This window comes from Homo sapiens, chromosome 10, assembly GCF_000001405.40.
Source record: "Homo sapiens chromosome 10, GRCh38.p14 Primary Assembly".
Taxonomy (NCBI): Eukaryota; Metazoa; Chordata; class Mammalia; order Primates; family Hominidae; genus Homo; species Homo sapiens.
In genome coordinates, this window is record NC_000010.11 from 42,090,364 (window position 1) to 42,113,657 (window position 23,294).

General features: G+C 39.0%; 7 annotated features.

Annotated features, from left to right (window-relative positions):
- Positions 11,086-11,621: an enhancer, noted in NCBI's record as "OCT4-NANOG-H3K27ac-H3K4me1 hESC enhancer chr10:42596897-42597432 (GRCh37/hg19 assembly coordinates)". NCBI's record gives its function as "activates a minimal SCP1, AML or CMV promoter by ChIP-STARR-seq in naive and primed H9 embryonic stem cells {active_cell/tissue: H9 hESC(naive and primed)}" and the evidence as "EXISTENCE:reporter gene assay evidence [ECO:0000049][PMID:30033119]".
- Positions 11,622-12,157: an enhancer, noted in NCBI's record as "OCT4-NANOG-H3K27ac-H3K4me1 hESC enhancer chr10:42597433-42597968 (GRCh37/hg19 assembly coordinates)". NCBI's record gives its function as "activates a minimal SCP1, AML or CMV promoter by ChIP-STARR-seq in naive and primed H9 embryonic stem cells {active_cell/tissue: H9 hESC(naive and primed)}" and the evidence as "EXISTENCE:reporter gene assay evidence [ECO:0000049][PMID:30033119]".
- Positions 12,158-12,693: an enhancer, noted in NCBI's record as "OCT4-NANOG-H3K27ac-H3K4me1 hESC enhancer chr10:42597969-42598504 (GRCh37/hg19 assembly coordinates)". NCBI's record gives its function as "activates a minimal SCP1, AML or CMV promoter by ChIP-STARR-seq in naive and primed H9 embryonic stem cells {active_cell/tissue: H9 hESC(naive and primed)}" and the evidence as "EXISTENCE:reporter gene assay evidence [ECO:0000049][PMID:30033119]".
- Positions 12,694-13,229: an enhancer, noted in NCBI's record as "OCT4-NANOG-H3K27ac-H3K4me1 hESC enhancer chr10:42598505-42599040 (GRCh37/hg19 assembly coordinates)". NCBI's record gives its function as "activates a minimal SCP1, AML or CMV promoter by ChIP-STARR-seq in naive and primed H9 embryonic stem cells {active_cell/tissue: H9 hESC(naive and primed)}" and the evidence as "EXISTENCE:reporter gene assay evidence [ECO:0000049][PMID:30033119]".
- Positions 13,230-13,765: an enhancer, noted in NCBI's record as "OCT4-NANOG-H3K27ac-H3K4me1 hESC enhancer chr10:42599041-42599576 (GRCh37/hg19 assembly coordinates)". NCBI's record gives its function as "activates a minimal SCP1, AML or CMV promoter by ChIP-STARR-seq in naive and primed H9 embryonic stem cells {active_cell/tissue: H9 hESC(naive and primed)}" and the evidence as "EXISTENCE:reporter gene assay evidence [ECO:0000049][PMID:30033119]".
- Positions 13,766-14,301: an enhancer, noted in NCBI's record as "OCT4-NANOG-H3K27ac-H3K4me1 hESC enhancer chr10:42599577-42600112 (GRCh37/hg19 assembly coordinates)". NCBI's record gives its function as "activates a minimal SCP1, AML or CMV promoter by ChIP-STARR-seq in naive and primed H9 embryonic stem cells {active_cell/tissue: H9 hESC(naive and primed)}" and the evidence as "EXISTENCE:reporter gene assay evidence [ECO:0000049][PMID:30033119]".
- Positions 14,302-14,837: an enhancer, noted in NCBI's record as "OCT4-NANOG-H3K27ac-H3K4me1 hESC enhancer chr10:42600113-42600648 (GRCh37/hg19 assembly coordinates)". NCBI's record gives its function as "activates a minimal SCP1, AML or CMV promoter by ChIP-STARR-seq in naive and primed H9 embryonic stem cells {active_cell/tissue: H9 hESC(naive and primed)}" and the evidence as "EXISTENCE:reporter gene assay evidence [ECO:0000049][PMID:30033119]".

Consider the following 23,294-nt stretch of genomic DNA (forward strand, 5'->3'; position numbering starts at 1 on the left):
ATGGACTCAAATGGAATCAACATCAAACGGAATCAAACGGAATTATCAAATGGAATCGAAGATAATCATCGAATGGACTCGAATGGAATCATCTAATGAAATAGAATGGAATAATCCATGGACTCGAATGCAATAACCATGAAATGGAATCGAATGGAATCGTCGAATGGACTCGAATGGAATAATCATTGAACGGAATAGAATGGAAGCATCACCGGATGGAAACGAATGGAATCATCATCGAATGGAATCATCAAATGGAATCAGATGGAATCATCATCAAATGGAATCGAATAGAATTATGGAATGAAATCCAATGTGATCATCATTGAATGGTCTCGAACGGAATCATCATCCAATGGAAACTAATGGAATCAACATCGAATGGAATCGAATGGAAACACCATCGAATTGAAACGAATGGAATTATCATGAAATTGAAATGGATGGACTCATCATCGAATGGATTCGAATGGAATCATCGAATGAAATTGATTGAAATCATCATCAAAAGGAATCGAATGGAATCATTGAATGGAATCGAATGGAATCATCATCACATGGAAATGAATGGAATCATCATAGAATGGAATCGAATGGATTCACTGAATGGAATCAGATGGAATCATCAAACGGACTTGAATGGAATCATTGAACGGACTCGAATGGAATCATTATTAAATGGAATTGAACGAAATCATCGAATGGTCTCGAAAGGAATCATTATCGAATGGAATCACCGAATAGAAACGAATGGAACAATCATTGAATGGACTCAAATGGAATTATCCTCAAATGGAATCGAATGGAATTATCGAATGCAATCGATGGGAATTATCGAATGCAATCGAATAGAATCATCGAATGGACTCGAATGGAATCATCGAAAGGAATGGAATGGAATAGTCAATGAACTCGAATGGAATAATCATTGAATGGAATCGAATGTAATCATCGAGTGGAATCGAATGGAATCATGATCAAATGGAATCGAATGTAATCATCATCAAATGGAATCAAAAATAACCATCATCAATTGGTATTGAATGGAATTGTCATCAAATGGAATTCAATGAATCATCATCAAAGGGAACCGAATGGAATCCTCATTGAATGGAAATGAAAGGAGTCATCATCTAATGGAATCGCATGGAATCATCATCAAATGGAATCGAATGGAATCATCATCAAATGGAATCGAATGGAATCATTTCACGGAATTGAATGGAATCGTCATCGAATGAATTGATTGCAATCATCGAAGGGACTCGAATGGAATCATCTTCAAATGGAAAGGAATGGAATCATCGCATAGAATCGAATGGAATTATCATCGAATGGACTCGAATGGAATCAAAATCAAACGGAATCAAATGGAATTATCGAACGGAATCGAAGAGAATCATCGAATGGCCACGAATGGAATCATCTAATGGAATGGAATGGAATAATCCATGGACCCGAATGCAATCATCATCGAATAGAATCGAATGGAATCATCGAATGGATTCGAATGGAATAATCATTGAACGAAACCGAATGGAATCATCGTCGAATGGAAACGAATGGAATCATCATCGAATGGAAATGAAAGGAGTCATCATCTAATGGAATCGCATGGAATCATCATCAAATGGAATCGAATGGAATGATCATCAAATGAAATCTAATGGAATCACCGAACGGAATTGAATGGAATGGTCATCGAATGAATTGAATGCAACCATCGAATGGTCTCGAATGGAATCATCTTCAAATGGAAAGGAATGGAATCATCGCATAGAATCGAATGGAATTATCATTGAATGTACTCGAATGGAATCAACATCAAACGGAATCAAACGGAATTATCGAATGGAATCGAAGAGAATCATCGAATGGCCACGAATGGAATCATCTAATGGAATGGAATGGATGAATCCACGGACCCGAAGGCAATCATCATCGAATAGAATCGAATGGAATCATCGAATGGACTCGAATGGAATAATCATTGAACGGAACCGAATGGAATCATCGTCGAATGGAAACCAATGGAATCATCATCGAATGGAAATGAAACGAGTCATCATCTAATGGAATGGCATGGAATCCTCAAATGGAATCGAATGGAATCATCATCGAATGGAATCTAATGGAATCATTGAACGGCATTGAATGGAATCGTCATCGAATGAATTGAATGCAATCATCGAATGGTCTCGAATGGAATCATCTTCAAATGGAATGGAATGGAATCATCGCATAGAATCGGATGGAATTATCATCGAATGGACTCAAATGGAATCAACATCAAACGGAATCAAACGGAATTATCGAATGGAATCGAAGAGAATCATCGAATGGACTCGAATGGAATCATCTAATGAAATAGAATGGAAAAATCCATGGAATCGAATGCAATCATCATCAAATGGAATCGAATGGAATCGTCGAATGGACTCGAATGGAATAAACATTTAACGGAATCGAATGGAATCATCACCGGATGGAAACGAATGGAATCATCATCGAATGGAATCGAATGGAATCATCAAATGGAATCAGATGGAATCATCATCAAATGACATCGAATAGCATTATGGAATGAAATCAAATGTGATCATCATCGAATGGACTCGAACGGAATCATCATCCAATGGAAACTAATGGAATGAACATCGAATGGAATCGAATGGAAACACCATCGAATGTAAACGAATGGAATTATCATGAAATTGAAATGGATGGACTCATCATCGAATGGATTCGAATGGAGTCATCGAATGAAATTGATTGAAATCATCGTCAAATGGAATCGGATGGAATCATTGAATGGAATCGAATGGAATAATCATCAGATGGAAATGAATGGAATCATCACAGAATGGATCGAATGGATTCATTGAATGGAATCACATGGAATCTTCGAATGGACTTGAATGGAATCATTGAATGGACACGAATGGAATCATTATTGCATGGAATTGAATGGAATCATCGAATGGTCTCGAATGGAATCATTATCAAATGGAATCGAATGGAATCACGAATAGAATCGAATGGAACAATCATCGAATGGACTCAAATTGAATTATCCTCAAATGGAATCGAATGGAATTATCAAATGCAATCGAATGGAATTATGGAATGCAATTGAATAGACTCATCGAATGGACTCGAGTGGAATCATCGAATTTAATGGAATGGAATAGTCAAGGAACTCGAGTGGAATCATCATTTAATGGAATCGAATGGAATCATCGAGTAGAATCGAATGGAATTATGATCAAATGGAATCGAACGGAATCATCATTGAATGAAAACGAATGGAATCATCGAGTGGAATCGAATGGAATCATGATCAAATGGAATCAAATGTAATCATCATCCAATGGAATCAAAAATAACCATCATCTATTGGTATTGAATGCAAATGTCATCAAATGGAATTCAAAGGAATCATCATCAAATGGAACCGAATGGAATCCTCATTGAATGGAAATGAAAGGAGTCATCATCTAATGGAATGGCATGGAATCATCATCAAATGGAATCGAATGGAATCATCATCAAGTGGCATCTAATGGAATCCTTGAACGGAATTGAATGGAATCGTCATCGAAAGAATTGAATGCAATCATCGAATGGTCTCGAATGGAATCATCTTCAAATGGAAAGGAATGGAATCATCGCATAGAATCGAATGGAATTATCATTGAATGGACTCGAATGGAATCAACATCAAACGGAATCAAACGGAATTATCTAATGGAATCGAAGAGAATCATCGAATTGCCACGAATGCAATCATCTAAAGTTATGGAATGGAATAATCCATGGACCCGAATGCAATCATCATCGAATAGATTCGAATGGAATCATCGAATGGACTCGAATGGAATAATCATTGAAAGGAATCGAATGGAATCATCGTCGAATGGAAACCAATGGAATCATCATCGAATGGAAATGAAGGGAGTCATCATCTAATGGAATCACATGGAATCATCACCAAATGGAATCGAATGGAATCATCATCGAATGGAATCTAATGGAATCATTGAACGGCATTGAATGGAATCGTCATCGAATGAATTGAATGCAATCATCGAATGGTCTCGAATGGAATCATCTTCAAATGGAATGGAATGGAATCATCGCATAGAATCGAATGGAATTATCATCGAATGACCTCAAATGGAATCAACATCAAATGGAATCAAACGGAATTATCGAATGGAATCGAAGAGTATCATCGAATGGACTCGAATGGAATCATCTAATGAAATAGAACGGAAAAATCCATGGAATCGAATGCAATCATCATCAAATGGAATCGAATGGAATCGTCGAATGGCCTCGAATGGAATAAACATTGAACGGAACCGAATGGAATCATCACCGGATGGAATCGAATGGAATCTTCATCGAATGGAATCGAATGTAATCATCAAACGGAATCAGATGGAATCATCATCAAATGGAATCGAATAGAATTATGGAATGAAATCCAATGTGATCATCATCGAATGGACTCGAACGGAATCATCATCCAATGGAAACTAATGGAATCAACATCGAATGGAATCGAATGGAAACACAATCGAATGGAAACGAATGGAACTATCATGAAATTGAAATGGATGGACTCATCATCGAATGGATTCGAATGGAATCATCGAATGAAATTGATTGAAATCATCGTCAAATGGAATCGGATGGAATCATTGAATGGAATCGAATGGAATCATCATCATATGGAAATGAATGGAATCATCACAGAATGGATCGAATGGTTTCATTGAATGGAATCAGATGGAATCATCGAATTGACTTGAATGGAATCATTGAATGGACTCGAATGGAATCATTATTGAATGGAATTGAATGGAATCATCGAATGGTCTCGAATGGAATCATTACCAAATTGAATCGAAAGGAATCACCGAATAGAATCAAATGGAACAATCATCGAATAGACTCAAATGGAATTATCCTCAAATGGAATAGAATGGAATTATCAAATGCAATCGAATGGAATTGTCGAATGCAATCGAATAGAATCATCAAATGGACTCGAATGGAATCATCGAATGGAATGGAATGGAATAGTCAATGAACTCGAATGGAATCATCATTGAATGGAATCGAATGGAATCATCGAGTGGAATCGAATGGAATCATCATTGAATGGAATCGAATGGAATCAGCGAGTGGAATCGAATGGAATCATGATCAAATGGAATCGAATGTAATCATCATCAAATGGAATCAAAAATAACCATCATCTATTGGTATTGAATGCAATTGACATCAAATGGAATTCAAAGGAATCATCATCTAATGGAACCGAATGGAATCCTCATTGAATGGAAATGAAAGGAGTCATCATCTAATGGAATGGCATGGAATCCTCAAATGGAATCGAATGGAATCATCATCAAATGGCATTTAATGGAATCCTTGAACGGAATTGAATGGAATCGTCATCGAAAGAATTGAATGCAATCATCGAATGGTCTCGAATGGAATCATCTTCAAATGGAAAGGAAAGGAATCATCACATAGAATCGAATGGAATTATCATTGAATGGACTCGAATGGAATCAACATCAAATGAAATCAAACAGAATAATCAAATTGAATCGAAGTGAATCATCGAATTGCCACGAATGCAATCATCTAATGGTATGGAATGGAATAATCCATGGACCCAAATGCAATCATCATCGAATAGAATCGAATGGAATCATCGAATGGACTCGAATGGAATAATCATTGAACGGAATTGAATGGAATCATCGTCGAATGGAAACCAATGGAATCATCATCAAATGGAAATGAAACGAGTCATCATCTAATGGAATGGCATGGAATCCTCAAATGGAATCGAATGGAATCATCATCGAATGGAATCTAATGGAATCATTGAACGGCATTGAATGGAATCGTCATCGAATGAATTGAATGCAATCATCGAATGGTCTCAAATGGAATCATCTTCAAATGGAATGGAATGGAATCATCGCATAGAATCGAATGGAATTATCATCGAATGGACTCAAATGGAATGAACATCAAACGGAATCAAACGGAATTATCGAATGGAATCGAAGAGAATCATCGAATGGACTCGAATGGAATCATCTAATGAAATAGAATGGAAAAATCCATGGAATCGAATGCAATCATCATCAAATGGAATCGAATGGAATCGTCGAATGGACTCGAATGGAATAAACATTTAAGGGAATCGAATGGAATTATCACTGGATGGAAACGAATGGAATCATCATCCAATGGAATCGAATGGAATCATCAAATGGAATCAGATGGAATCATCATCAAATGGCATCGAATAGCATTATGGAATGAAATCCAATGTGATCATCATCGAATGGACACGAACGGAATCATCATCCAATGGAAACTAATGGAATCAACATCAAATGGAATCGAATGGAAACACCATCGAATGGAAACGAATGGAATTATCATGAAATTGAAATGGATGGACTCATCATCGAATGGATTCGAATGGAGTCATCGAATGAAATTGATTGAAATCATCATCAAATGGAATCGGATGGAATCATTGAATTGAATCGAATGGAATCATCATCAGATGGAAATGAAGGGAATCATCACAGAATGGATCGAATGGATTCATTGAATGGAATCACATGGAATGATCGAATGGACTTGAATGGAATCATTGAATGGACTCGAATGGAATCATTATTGCATGGAATTAAATGGAATCATCCAATGGTCTCGAATAGAATCATTATCAAATGGAATCGAATGGAATCACCAAATAGAATCGAATGGAACAATCATCGAAGGGACTCAAATGGAATTATCCTCAAATGGAATCGAATGGAATTATCGAATGCAATCAAATGGAATTATCGAATGCAATCGAATAGAATCATCGAATGGACTCGAATGGAATCATCGAATGGAATGGAATGGAATAGTCAAGGAACTCGAATGGAATCATCATTGAATGGAATCGAATGGAATCATCGAGTGGAATCGAATGGAATCATGATCAAATGGAATCGAATGGAATCATCATTGAATGGAATCGAATGGAATCATCAAGTGGAATCGAATGGAATCATGATCAAATGGAATCGAATGTAATCATCATCAAATGGAATTAAAAATAACCATCATCTATTGGTATTGAATGCAATTGTCATCAAATGGAATTCAAAGGAATCATCATCAAATGGAACCGAATGGAATCCTCATTGAATGGAAATGAAAGGAGTCATCATCTAATGGAATGGCATGGAATCATCATCAAATGGAATTGAATGGAATTATCATCAAATGGCATCTAATGGAATCCTTAAACGTAATTGAATGGAATCGTCATCGAATGAATTGAATGCAATCATCGAATGGTCTCGAATGGAATCATCTTCAAATGGAAAGGAATGGAATCATTGCATAGAATCGAATGGAATTATCATTGAATGGACTCGAATGGAATCAACATCAAACGGAATCAAACGGAATTATCGAATGGAATAGAAGAGAATCATCGAATTGTCACGAATGCAATCATCTAATGGTATGGAATGGAATAATCCATGGACACGAATGCAATCATCATCGAATAGAATCGAATGGAATCATCGACTGGACTCGAATGGAATAATCATTGAACGGAATCGAATGGAATCATCGTCGAATGGAAACCAATGGAATCATCATCGAATGGAAATGAAAGGAGTCATCATCTAATGGAATCGCATGGAATCATCATCAAATGGAATCGAATGGAGTCTAATGGAATCATTGAACGGCATTGAATGGAATCGTCATCGCATGAATTGAATGCAATCATCGAATGGTCTCGAATGGAATCATCTTCAAATGGAATGGAATGGAATCATCGCATGGAATCGAATCGAATTATCATCGAATGGACTCAAATGGAATGAACATCAAACGGAATCAAACGAAATTATCGAATGGAATCGAAGAGAATCATCGAATGGACTCGAATGGAATCATCTAATGAAATAGAATGGAAAAATCCATGGAATCGAATGCAATCATCATCAAATGGAATCGAATGGAATCGTCAAATGGACTCGAATGGAATAAACATTGAACTGAAGCGAACGGAATCATCACCGGATGGAAACGAATGGAATCATCATCGAATGGAATCGAATGGAATCATCAAATGGAACCCGATGGAATCATCATCAAATGGCATCGAATAGCATTATGGAATGAAATCCAATGTGATCATCATCGAATGGACTCGAACGGAATCATCATCCAATGGAAACTAATGGAATCAACAACGAATGGAATCGAATGGAAACACCATCGAATTGAAACGAATGGAATTATCATGAAATTGAAATAGATGGACTCATCATCGAATGGATTCGAATGGAGTCATCGAAAGAAATTGATTGAAATCATCATCAAATGGAATCGGATGGAATCATTGAATGGAATCGAATGGAATCATCATCAGATGGAAATGAAGGGAATCATCACAGAATGGATCGAATGGATTCATTGAATGGAATCACATGGAATGCTCGAATGGACTTGAATGGATTCCTTGAGTGGACTCGAATGGAATCATTATTGCATGGAATTAAATAGAATCATCCAAAGGTCTCGAATGGAATCATTATCAAATGGAATCAAATGGAATCACCGAATAGAATCGAATGGAACAGTCACCGAAGGGACTGAAATGGAATTATCCTCAAATGGAATTGAATGGAATTATCGAATGCAATCGAATGGAATTATCGAATGCAATCGAATAGAATCATCGAATGGACTCGAATGGAATCATCGAATGGAATGGAATGGAATAGTCAAGGAACTCGAATGGAATCATCATTGAATGGAATCGAATGGAATCATCGAGTGGAATCGAAAGGAATCATGATCAAATGGAATCGAATGGAATCATCATTGAATGGCATCGAATGGAATCATCGAGTGGAATCGAATGGAATCATGATCAAATGGAAATGAATGGAATCATCACAGAATGGATTGAATGGTTTCATTGAATGGAATCACATGGAATCATCGAATGGACTTGATTGGAATCATTGAATGGACTCGAATGGAATCATCATTGCATGGAATTGAATGGAATCATCGAATGGTCTCGAATGGAATCATTACCAAATGGAATCCAATGGAATCACCGAATAGAATCGAATGGATCAATCGTCGATTGGACTCAAATGGAATTATCCTCAAATGGAATAGAATGGAATTATCGAATGCAATTGACTGGAATTATCGAATGCAATCGAATAGAATCATCGAATGGACTCGAATGGAATCATCAAATGGAATGGAATGGAATAGTCAATGAACTCGAATGGAATCATCATTGAATGGAATCGAATGGAATCATCGATTTGAATCGAATGGAATCATGATCAAATGGAATCGAATGTAATCATCATCAAATGGAATCAAAAATAACCATCATCAATTGGTATTGAATGGAATTGTCATCAAATGGAATTCAAAGGAATCATCATCAAATGGAACCGAATGGAATCCTCATTGAATGGAAATGAAAGGAGTCATCATCTAATGGAATGGCATGGAATCATCATCAAATGGAATCTAATGGAATCCTTGTACGGAATTGAATGGAATCGTCATCGAATGAATTGAATGCAATCATCGAATGGTCTCGAATGGAATCATCTTCAAATGGAAAGGAATGGAATCATCGCATAGAATCGAATGGAATTATCATCGAATGGACTCGAATGGAATCAACATGAAACGGAATCAATCGGAATTATCGAATGGAATCGAAGAGAATCATCGAATGGACTCGAATGGAGTCATCTAATGGAATGGAATGGAATAATCCATGGACTCGAATGCAATCATCATCGAATGGAATCGAGTGGAATCATCGAATGGACTCGAATGGAATAATCATTGAACCGAATCGAGTGGAATCATCATCGGATGGAAACGAATTGAGTCATCATTGAATGGAATCGAATGGAATCATCAATTGGAATCAGATGGAATCATCATCAAATGGAATCGAGTAGAATTATGGAATGAAATCTAATGTGATCATCATCGAATGGACTCGAATGGAGTCATCATCCAATGGAAACTAATGGAATCAACATCGAATTGAAACGAAAGGGAACACCATCGAATTGAAACGAATGGAATTATCATTAAATTGAAATGGATGGACTCATCATCGCATCATCGAATGGATTTGAATGGAGTCATCGAATGAAATTGATTGAAATCATCATCAAATGGAATCGAATGGAATCATTGAATGGAATCGAATGGAATCCTCATCAGATGGAAATGAGTGGAATCATCATAGAATGGAATCGAATGGATTCATTGAATGGAATCAGATGGAATCATCGAATGGACTTCAATGGAATCATTGAATGGACTCGAATGGAATCATTATTGAATGGAATTGAATTGAATCATCGAATGGTCTCGAATGGAATCATTATCAAATGGAATCGAATGGAATCACCGAATAGAATCGAATGGAACAATCGTCGAATGGACTCACATGGAATTATCCTCAAATGGAATCGAATGGAATTATCGAATGCAATCCAATGGAATTATTGAATTCAATTGAATACAATCATCGAATGGACTCGAATGGAATCATCGAATGGAATGGAATGGAATAGTCATTGCATTCGAATGGAATCATCATTGAATGGAATCGAATGGAATCATCGAGTGGAGTCGAATGGAATCATATAGTGGACTCGAATGGAATCATGTTCAAATGGAATCGAATGTAATGATCATCAAATGGAATCAAAAATAACCATCATCAATTGGTATTGAATGGAATTGTCATCAAATGGAATTCAAAGGGATCATCATCAAATGGAACCGAATGGAATCCTCATTGAATGGAAATGAAAGGAGTCATCATCTAATGGAATCACATGGAATCGTCATCAAATGAAATCAAATGGAATCATCATCAAATGGAATCTAATGGAATCATTGAACAGAATTGAATTGAATCGTCATCGAATGAACTGAATGCAATCATCGAATGGTCTCGAATGGAATCATCTTCAAATGGAAAGGAATGGAATCATCGCATAGAATCGAATGGAATTATCATTGAATGGACTCGAATGGAATCAACATCAAACGGAATCAAACGGAATTAGCGAATTGAATCGAAGAGAATCATCGAATGGACTCGAATGGAATCATCTAATGGAATGGAATGGAATAATCCATGGACACGAATGCAATCATCATCGAATAGAATCGAATGGAATCATCGAATGGACTCGAATGGAATAATCATTGAACGGAATCGAATGGAATCATCATCAGATGGAAACGAATGGAATCATCATTGAATGGAATCGAATGGAATCATCAAACGGAAACAGATGGAATCATCATCAAATGGAATCGAGTAGAATTATGGAATGCAATCCAATGTGATCATCATCGAATGGTCTCGAATGGAATCATCATCCAATGGAAACTAATGGAATCAACATCGAATGGAATCGAATGGAAACACCATCGAATTGAAAGGAATGGAATTATCATGAAATTGAAATGGATGGTCTCATCATCGAATGGATTCCAATGAAATCATCAAATGAAATTGATTGAAGTCATCATCAAATGGAATCAAATGGAATCATTGAATGGAATCGAATGGAATCATCATCAGATGGAAATGAATGGAATCATCATAGAATGGAATCGAATGGATTCATTGAATGGAATCAGATGGAATCATCCAATGGACTTGAATGGAATCATTGAATGGACTCGAATGGAATCATTATTGAATAGAATTGAATGGAATCATTGAATGGTCTCGAATGGAATCATTATCAAATGGAATCGAATGGAATCACCGACTAGAATCGAATGGAACAATCATCGAATGGACTCAAATGGAATTATCCTCAAATGGAATCAAATGGAATTATCGAATGCAATCGAATGGAATTATCGAATGCAATCGAATAGAATCATCGAATGGGCTCGAATGGAATCATCGAATGGAATGGAATGGAATAGACAATGAATACGAATGGAATCATCATTGAATGGAATCGAATGGAATCATTGAGTGGAATCGAATGGAATCATGATCAAATGTAATCAAAAGTAATCATCATCCAATGGAATCAGAAATAACCATCATCAATTGGTATTGAATGGAATTGTCATCAAACGGAATTCAAAGGAATCATCATCAAATGGAACCGAATGGAATCCTCATTGAATGGAAATGAAAGGAGTCATCATCTAATGGAATCGCATGGAATCATCATCAAATGAAATCGAATGGAATCATCATCAATTGGAATCTAATGGAATCATTGAACAGAATTGAATGGAATCGTCATCGAATGAATTGAATGCAATCATCGAATGTTCTCGAATGCAATCATATTCAAATGGAATGGAATTTAATAATCGCATAAAATCGAATGAAATTATCATCGAATGGACTCGAATCGAATCAACATCAAATGGAATCAAACGGAATTATCGAATGGAATCGAAGAGAATCATCGAATGGACTCGAATGGAATCATCTAATGGAATGGAATCATCTAATGGATTGGAATGGAATAATCCATGGACACGAATGCAATCATCATCCAATGGAATCGAATGGAATCATCGAATGGACTCGAATGGAATAATCCTTGAACGGAATCGATTGGAATCATCATCGGATGGATACGAATGGAATCATCATTGAATGGAATCGAATGGAATCATCAAATGGAATCAGATGGAATCATCATCAAATGGAATCGAGTAGAATTATGGAATGCAATCCAATGTGATCATCATCGAATGGACTCGAATGGAATCATCATCCAATGGAAACTAATGGAATCAACATCGAATGGAATCGAATGGAAACACCATCGAATTGAAAGGAAAGGAATTATCATGAAATTGAAATGGATGGACTCATCATCGAATGGATTCCAATGAAATCATCGAATGAAATTGATTGAAATCATCATCAAATGGAATCAAATGGAATCATTGAATGGAATCGAATGGAATCATCATCAGATGGAAATGAATGGTATCATCATAGAATGGAATCAAATGGATTCATTGAATGGAATCAGATGGAATCATCCAATGGACTTGAATGGAATCATTGAATGTACTGGAATGGAATCATTATTGAATAGAATTGAATGGAATCATGGAATGGTCTCGAATGGTATCATTATGAAATGGAATCGAATGGAATCACCGAATAGAATCGAATGGAACAATCATCGAATGGACTCAAATGGAATTATCCTCAAATGGAATCAAATGGAATTATCGAATGCAATCGAATGGAATTATCGAATGCAATCGAATAGAATCATCGAATGGGCTCGATTGGAATTATCGAATGGAATTTAATGGAATAATTGAACGGAATTGAATCGAATCGTCATCGAATGAATTGAATGCAATCATCGAATGGTCTCGAATGGAATCATCTTCAAATGGAAAGGAATGGAGTCATCGCATAGAATCGAATGGAATTATCATTGAATGGACTCGAATGGAATCAACATCAAACGGATTCAAACGGAATTATTGAATGGATTCGAAGAGTCATTGAATGACTCGAATGGAATCATCTAATAAAATGGAATCAAATAATCCATGGACTCGAATGCAATCATCATCGAATGGTATCGAATGGAATCATTCAATGGACTCGAATGCAATAATCATTGAACGGAATCGAATGGAATCATCATCAGATGGAAACGAATGGAATCATCATCGAATGGAAATGAAAGGAGTCATCATCTAATGGAATCGCATGGAATCATCATCAAATGGAATCGAATGGAATCATCATCAGATGGAATCTAATGGAAACATTGAACGGAATTGAATGGAATCGTCATCGAATGAATTGAATGCAATCATCGAATGGTCTCGAATGGAATCATCTTCAAATGGAATGGAATGGAATCATCGCATAGAATTGAATGGAATTATCATCGAATTGACTCGAATGGAATCAACATCTAACGGAATCAAACGGAATTATCGAATGGAATCGAAGAGAATCATCGAATGGACTCGAATGGAATCATCTAATGGAATGGAATGGAATAATCCATGGATTCGAATGCAATCATCATCGAATGGAATCAAATGGAATCATCGAATGGACTCGAATGGAATAATCATTGAACGGAATTGAATGGAATCATCATCGGATGGAAACGAATGGAATCGTCATCGAATGGAATCGAATGGAATCATCAAATGGGATCAGATGGAATCATCATCAAATGGAATCGAATAGAATTATGGAATGAAATCCAATGTGATCATCATCGAATGGACTCGAATGGAATCATCATCCAATGGAAACTAATGGAATCAACATCGAATGGATTCGAATGGAAACACCATCGAATTGAAGCGAATGGAATTATCATGAAATTGAATTGGATGGACTCATCATCGAATGGATTCGAATGGAATCATCGAATGAAATTGATTGAAATCATCATCAAATGGAATCGAATGGAATCATTGAATGGAGTCGAATGGAATCATCATCAGATGGAAATGAATGGAATCATCATAGAATGGAATCGAATGGATTCATTGAATTGAATCAGATGGAATCATCAAGTGGACTTGAATGGAATCATTGAATGGACTCGAATGGAATCATTATTGTATGGAATTGAATGGAATCATCGAATGGTCTCGAATGGAATCATCCTAGAATGGAATTGAATTTAATCATCAAATGGAATCGAATAGAATCATCATTGAATGGAATCGAATACAATCGGCATCGAATAGAATCGAATGGAATCATCATCAATGGAATCAAATGGAATTTTCTTCAAATGGAATCGAATGGAAACATCATCAATTAGAATCGAATGGGATCATTGAATGAAACTGAATGGAATCATCATCAAAACGAATCAAAATAAAACAAAGAATGGAATCCAACGGAATCATCGAGTGGGATCAAATGGAATCATCATTGAATGGACTCGCATGGAGTCATCATCAAATGGAATCAAATGGAATCCTTTAATGGACTCGAATGGAATCATTGAATGGACTCCAATGGAATCATCGAATGGAATCTAATGCAATCATCATCGAATGAAATCAAATGGAATCATTGAATGGAATTGAATGGAATCATAATCAAATGGAATCAAATGAAATCATGGAATGCACTCGAATGGAATCATCGAATGGACTCAAATGGAATCAACATTGAGTGGAATCGAAAGAAAACATCTAATGGAGTTGAATGGAATAATCAAATGGAATCATCATCGAATGGACTAGAATGGAATCATCGAATGTACCCGAAAAGAATCATCATCGAATGTAATCCAATGGAGTCATCTAATGCAATCCAATGGAATCATCATTGAATGGAATCGAATGGAATCATCATCGAATGGAATTGAATGGAATCATCATCAAATGGAGTCGAATGGAATCATCAATGAATGGAATCGAATGGAGTCATCGAATGGAGTCCGTTAGAATCATCATCGAATGGAACCGAATGCAGTCATCATCTAACGGAATCAAATGGAATCATCGAATGGACTCGATGGAATGATCATCACATGGAATCGAATGGAATCATCGAATGGACTCAAATGGAATCATCATTGAATGGAATCGAATGGAATCTTTGAATGGAAACAAATGAAATTATTGAATGGAATCGAATAGAATCATCATTGAATAGAATCAAATTGGATCATCATCAAATGGAATCTAATAAAATCATCATCGAATTGAATCTAGTGGAGTCATCATCTAATGGAGTTGAATGGAATCAGCAAGGAATTGAATTGAATTGAGAAATCGAATGGAATCCATTGGAATCATCATCGAATGGAACCGAACGCAGTCATCATACAATGGAACTGAATGGAATCAATGAAGGGACTCGAATTGTGTCATCATTGAATGGAATCGGATGGAATCATCGAATGGACTCGAATGGAAACATCATTGTATGGAATCGAATGGAATCCTCGAATGGACTCTGATGGAATCATCATCAAATGGAATCGAATGGAATCGAATTGAATCATCAAATGGACTCTAATGGAATCATCATTGAATGGAATCGAATGGAATCATCAAATGGACTCGAATGGAATCATCATCGAATGGAATCGAGTGGAATCCTTGAATTGAAGCAAATGGAATCATCAAATGGAATCGAACAGATTTGTAAGAAACTTACTTGAACCAAAAAATAGAAAAACAAACAAACCAAAACCCCCTAAAACTTTGACGAGCAAAGTAGACATCAGAACAGGAAATATCACTGGGGATGAAGAATAACATTTCAAAATGACAAAGGGGAAAATACACCAAGAAGTCATGTAAATAAGAATTATGTATGCACACAATAACATTACCTCAAAATACATAATATAAAACCTATTAAAACTGAAAGGTAAAATAGTAAAACCACAGTCATCCATGGGGATTTCAACAGTCTCCTGCCAGAAATTTTTAAATTTTGTTAAACGAAAAGTTGGTAAGGGTAGAGAGGATCTTAAAAATATAATTAGCCAACTTGATCTAATTGAATCTTTTAGAATAATCTAAGAATGAGGAATGAGTTAGCAGAGAAAGAAAAGGCAGACATCAACGTGACATTAGTGTTTCAAGGCTATGAGAATACAACAATAATGGTGTGTGTGTGTGTGTGTGCAGATGGCAAGCTCAATCTTAAAAATATTGAGTTTTAACTGACAATTCATTATTAGGAAAGATAAGAGGAAATGATATCTAGTGAGAGGCTATATGACTGAACTCTAAGATAAAGATCACAGCAGAAATTGTGTACCTGACAGCTCTATAAGGAGGTCAGTCAAAAATAAGTCAGTGATGAATTCTCTGGTGTAAAAGCAGAGGAATGAGGATTAGATTTAAAACACATGGAAGCAGAGTGACTTATGATAAAAACATGAGCTTGAAAATCCTGCAGAGAGAGCTTTAAATCCTGGGTATGATATTCTGCTTGTGTAGGCAATAGTGATAAAAACACAACAACAAAGAGAGGTAAAGAGCACTTTCCTTTGATATAAGTAAAGGGCACGTCTTATTGCACATATATATATATAGGTATTCAACTGAAATTCAACATGTTTCTCTCATTGAAACAGCAAGCTCTCCAGGCCTTCATGTTCCCAGTGAGGTAGGTAACCTTCTGATGATTATACTCACCCTCCCTCATTGCAAAGCCCCATTGTTATTGTCTTGGCTCTGGATTCCCTCAAAAATAGACTATGAAACAAATATCTGGGGTCAGATACTTTAATCAGAAATTGAGTGAGAAAGCACAGAAGTGGAGAAAATGAAACAGAACACGAAGCCAGTGTGAATGAGTAGTTACTGCTATGTGCTCAGTAATGATGGAGGTATGGAGATTGTCTTAAAATAACTTTACAAAGAGATGGGGATGCTGGAATCCCCATCTCCTATTGCTTAAGGATTGCCTTAGAATCATTAACTCTCCACCCCTAACTGCTTCTTTGTTCCTATGTGTGGTTGAGAAGCACTGGTTAGCCTCAAGAAGCTTGCAGGCAGGCCCAAAAATCAGAAAGAAAGGCATGATGTGGGGAGCTCTCAGTTAGCTTGAAACAGGTGAATTTCAGGTGAACACATTGAGTCCAGGACATAGAAGACACGTCATCAGCAATATCTGCTATAGCCAGTTTTCTTTTTCTTTTTAAGAATATATGTACTTTTTATTGGGGGTCCCCAAGTCCCCCTTTGGTTTAATGATTCACGTAACTCAAGAAAGCTGATTTTTTTTTGTGGTTACAGTTTCTAACGTGAAAGAAACCAGATTAAAATAATCAGAAGCATAAAAGCACATAAAGTTGAGTCCAGGACAAACCAGATGTGAGCGTACAGGTGTCCTTTCATAGTGGGGACTTCACACTGACTAATTTTCTTTACAATGGTGTGAGACAACTTGTGTGAACTTGTTGCCAACTAGGGAAGCTCAGTCAGTCTTGAGTCCAGGGTTTTTATTAGGATTCCACCACATATGCATCGAGCGTCCTGTGACTGAACTTAGCTACTTAGTTCCCAACCTCCCTATGCCCTAAGAGAGGTCATATTAATATAGCATTACACAAAGTCATAGGCATATAGAAACAGGTGCTCACAAGAAATCACGTTGTTAGCATCAGCTATTTGATAAGACCTACATTTTCAGGTATACAAAGACTCTCATCAGGCAGCATATACCAAGGGCTCATAGGTTATCATCTCCTAGGAGCTTGTCAAGGGCCAGTCCTGAAGACCTTTGGAATGTGCAAGGTTTTGGAAAGCCATGTCTGCAGAATTAACCCTTCATTGCACAACTTCCAAGAATTTTTTTTTATCTTTAAAAATGTTTTTTGATCTTTGACAATGTACCAACCAATACTGAGTAATTAGTAACAACAGTGTACTCCTGAGTACTTGCAACTGCAAGGAGAAAAAGGACAGATGCACTTACATAGGACAGATGCAAATAGACACCATTATGACAAGTAAAGCTGGAATAATCAATAAATTCCTAAAGACAAAGTGGGGCTGGTCAGATTGGGAGACCGCTGACAGCTGCAGAAGTTGGGAAAGATCCATCATCTTGAATCTTTTTCCCCACAAACCCACTATGATCTGTCAAGCAATTGGTAAGGAATCCAAGAGAGTCTGTATATGATACAGACCAGGGAGAGCAGAACACTTGGGAGGTGATGAGGTCTTGGGGGCTGAGCCCTTATGAATGGGATTAGTGTCTTTATAAAAGAAGCTCAATGGAGTTCTTGTGTGCCTTCCACTATGTGAGGACATAGAAAGAAGGCACCATCTATGAACCATGAAATTGGCTCTCATCAACACTGAATTTCTGAGCATCTTGACCTGAGATCTTACAGCCTCAAGAAGTGTGAAAAAAGAAATATCTGTTGTTTTTTAGTCACCCGGTTTATGTTATTTTGTTATAAGAGTCCAAATAGACCAAGATATTCCACTTAATATGTAGGGGAAGGCAACAAAAACTGCCACACTTAGAATACTCCTGACGCTGGGAGTATGAAAACAGGAAAAACAAAACAAAACTGCTCTTGAAGGTGAAGGAGGAATATCACTGAGCTCACCAACACAGCCAGGAAAAGAACAGAAGTGTGAGAAGGCTACATTCCTGAGACCCTGAGAAAAAGTACCTGCATAAGACTGAGATGAAATTACCTACCTTAGTTATAATTGAAATCCCAAAAAGAAAAGAGGAAAAAATAATGGAGCAAAAGAAATATATTTCAAAATAACTGCCAAAAATATTCTAAAAGAAGTGACAGGAAATCAAACTTCAGATATAGGAAACTCAGAGAATGTCAAATAGAACAAAAAGAAATAAGAATTCCATCTTGAAAAATCTTTAAAAAATCAACTCTAAATTTTATATCTTGCTCCAAATATATAGAGGTATAAATAGGTTATCATCAAGATATGGAGAAAGCCATATCATGGAAACACTAAAATAAAGCTGTGGAAGGACTACATTGATATTAGACACAACAGAGTTCAGAACAAGAAATAGTATGAGATGAGAGATAATAAATAATATAATAATCAATTCTCAAGATGTAAACATCCTACTAATTAGGATATGCAGCTAACAACAGAACCTCCAAATACATGAGGTAAAACAGGAAAGAAATCAAAGGTAAACTAGAAAAATCCAAAATTATATTTGCAGACTTCAACACTTTTGTTTTAGTAATGGACAGACTAGGCACAAACTCAGTAATCATATGGAAGATAAGAAAAACAATATCACCAACAAGACATCCAATCTTCAATGGCAGATACTTTTTCCTTTCAAGTGAAAAAAAAAACAGTATGGCATATTCTCTAACAAACCCAGAATTTCTAATATTTGCTTTCTTCCTTCCTTCTTTCCATCTTCCTTTCTCTTCTCTTCCCTTGCCTTCTTCCTTCCTTTCTTTTCCGCTTTCTTTTCCTTTCTTTTTTCTCCTTCCTTCCTTCTTTCCTTCCCCTTATTCTTCCTTCCCTCCTCCCTCCCTTGCTTTCTCCCTCCCTTCTTTTCTCTTATTCTTTCTCACTTTCTTTCCTTTTTTCTCCCTTCCTCCCTCCCTTTTTTCCTTCCTGCCTCCCTTCCTTTCCTTTTTCCTTCCTTCCTCCCTTCTATTTTCTTTGTTTGCCTTCCTCCCTGTTACCATTCTCTCTTCCTCCTTTCCTTCCTCCTTCCATCACTTTTTCTTTCTTTCTTGAGTTCTTGCTTTCTTTTTTCTCCTTTCCTGCCTTTCTCCCTTCCTCCCTCCCTTCTCTCATTTCCTCCTTTACTTTCTTCTTTCCTTCCTTCCTTTTTTCTTTCTCTTTAGTACAATTCATATTATTTAAAAAAAATTAAGAAAGAGAGGCAGAAAAATAAAGAACACTTTAATCTGCAGGTAAATAGATTATGTCTGCTGTAGACAAAATAATGGACTCACAAAAATGTTCATGTCCTAATTCCCGGAGTCTAACATACAAATATGTTAGGTTGCATGGCAGTGGGAAATTAGATTTCAAGTGAAATTAAGGTTCCAAAGGCAGCGGGGACAAAAAGCCACGGCGGCAAAAAAGCGCGGCAGCAGGGGCAAAAAGCCACGGCGGCAGTTGGAGAAAGACGCGGCGGTGGGGACAAAAAGCCACACTGAGGGGGGTAAAAAGCCACTGAGGCGGGGGCAAAAAGCAGCGGGAGCGGGGGCAAAAAAAACACAAAAAGCCGCGGCGGCTGGGGGAAAAAGCCGTGGTGGCAGGGTGCAAAAAAGCTGCAGCGACAGGGGCGAAAAGCCCCGGCGGCGGAGGCAAAAGACTGCGGCAGAGGGGGCAAAAAGCTGCGGCAGTGGCGGTTAAAAAAAGCCACGGCGGCAAAAACCCGCGGCGGTGGGGGTAAAATCCCGTAGTGGCGGGGGAAAAAACAGCGGTGGCAAAAAGTCACGGAAGCGGGGGCAAATAGCCCTGGTGGCGGGTGCAAAATGCCGCAGCGGTGAGGACAAAAAGCCGTGGCTTCAGGGACAAAAAGCTGCAGCAGCGAAAAGCTGTAGTGGCGGGGGCAAAAAGCCACGGCAGCGGCGGGGGGGCAAAAAGCAGCGGCGGCGGGAACAAACACCGCCGCGGCAAAAAGCCTCAGTGGCGGGGGCGAAAAGCCGCGGCGGCGGGGGAGAAAAGCCACAAAAAGCCATGGTGGCGAGGCTAAAAAGCTGTGGCTTTGGGGGCAAAAAGCCACAGCCTCAAAAAACCATAGTGGTGGGGCAAAAAGCTGCGGTGGCGGGGACAAAAAGCAGCAAGAGCGGGGGCAAAAAAATCACAAAAACCCGCGGAGACGGGGGGAAAAATCCACGGGGGCAAAAAGCCGCAAAAAGCAGCAGCGGCAGGGGCAAAAACCGCGGCGGCAAATAGCCTCAGTGGCAGGAGCCAAAAGCCATGGTGGCGGGGGCAAAAAGCCGTGGTGGTGGGCCCAAAAAGCCGCGGTGGTGGAATAAAACTGTGACTGCAAAAAGCCACGGCGATGGGGATAAGAAGCTGTGGCGGGGGCAAAAAGCCACAGCGGCGGGGAGTAAAATGCCGCAAAAAGCCGCGGTGGCGAGGGCAAAAAGGTGTGGCTTCGGGGGCAAAAAGCTGTAGCGGCTGGGCAAAAAGCCGCGGTGGCGAAGGCAAAAAGCTGTGGCTTTGGGGGCAAAAAGCCGCGGCAGCGGCTGGGGCGGAAAAACCACAAAAATCCGCTGAGACAGGGGGAAAAAGACGCGGGGGCAAAAAGCCGTGGCGACAGGGGGAAAAAATCTGCAAAAAGCAGCAGCGGCAGGGTTAAAAACCGCAGCGGCAAAAAGCCTCAGAGGTAGGAGCAAAAAGCCACGGCTGCGGGAGGGCAAAAAGCCACGGTGGTGGGACCAAAAAGCCATGGCGGTGGGAATAAAAAGCCGCGGCTGCAAAAAGCAGCGGCGGTGGGGATAAAAAGTCGTGACGGCAAAAACCCGCGGCGGTGGGGGCAATAAGCCGTGGCGGCACGGGGAAAAAGCCGTGGCGGCGAGGGCAAAAAGCTGTTGCTTCGGGGGCAAAAAACCACGGCGGCAAAAAGCCCTAGTGGTGGGGCAAAAAGCAGCGGGAGCGGGTGCAAAAAACAAAAACCCGGGGCGACGGGGGGAAAAAGCCGCATGGGCAAAAAGCCGCAGTGGCAGGGGGTCAAAAAGCCACGGCGGTGGGGGGGCAAAAAGCTGCAAAAAGCAGCGGCGGCGGGGGCAAAAACTGCAGAGGCAAAAAGCCTCAGCGGCAGGAGCAAAAAGTCATGGCGGCGGGGGCAAAAAGCCGCGGCGGCTAAAACCCATGGCGGCAGGGTCAAAAACCATGGCTTCGGAGGCAAAGAGCCGCGGTGGCAAAAAGCCGTAGTGGTGGGGGCAAAAAGCCACAAAAAGCCGTGGCGGCAGGGCCAAAAAGCCATGGCGCCAAGGGCAAAAAGCCGTGGCTTCGGAGGCAAAGAGCCGCAGCGGCAAAAAGCCACAAAAAGCCATGGTGATGGGGGCAAAATGCCACGGCGGTGGGGGTAAGAAGCCTCGGCAGCGAGGGCAATAAGCCGTGGCTGGAGAAACCCGCAGCGGCGGGGGCAAAAAGCAACAGCAGCGGTGACGAAAAGCCACAGGGGCGGGGGCAGAAATCCACGAGGCAGGGAAAAAGCTGCAGCAGCGGGGGCAGAAATCCGCGAGGCGGGGAATAAGCTGCAGCGGCGGGGGCAAAAAGGCAGGACGGCGGGCGCAAAAAGCCGCAAAAAGCCCCAGTGGTGGGTCAAAGAGCCGCAAAAAGCCCCAGTGTTGGGGGCAAAAAGCCGCGGCGGCAGTGGCAAAAAGCAGCGGAGGCAAAAACCCACGGCGGTGGCGGCAAAAAGCAGCGGTGGCAAAAAGCCGCGGTGGCAGGGGCACAATAGTGGAAAAGGGGTAGAAGGCCAATGCAGCTTGGCATTCCTGGACTGTGATGTGGAAGGAAAAGTGCAGCGGAAGACGAAGATGTAAGTAGGCTTGACTCAGTGCAGCTAAGAACTCAGATGTTATCTTGATGTTATCTATCAGCTAATTTTTTGTATTTTAGTAGAGAAGGGGTTTTACCAAGTTGGCCAGGATTGTCTGGATCTCCTGAGCTCATGATCCACGCACCTCAGCCTCCCAAAGTGATGGGATTAGAGGCAT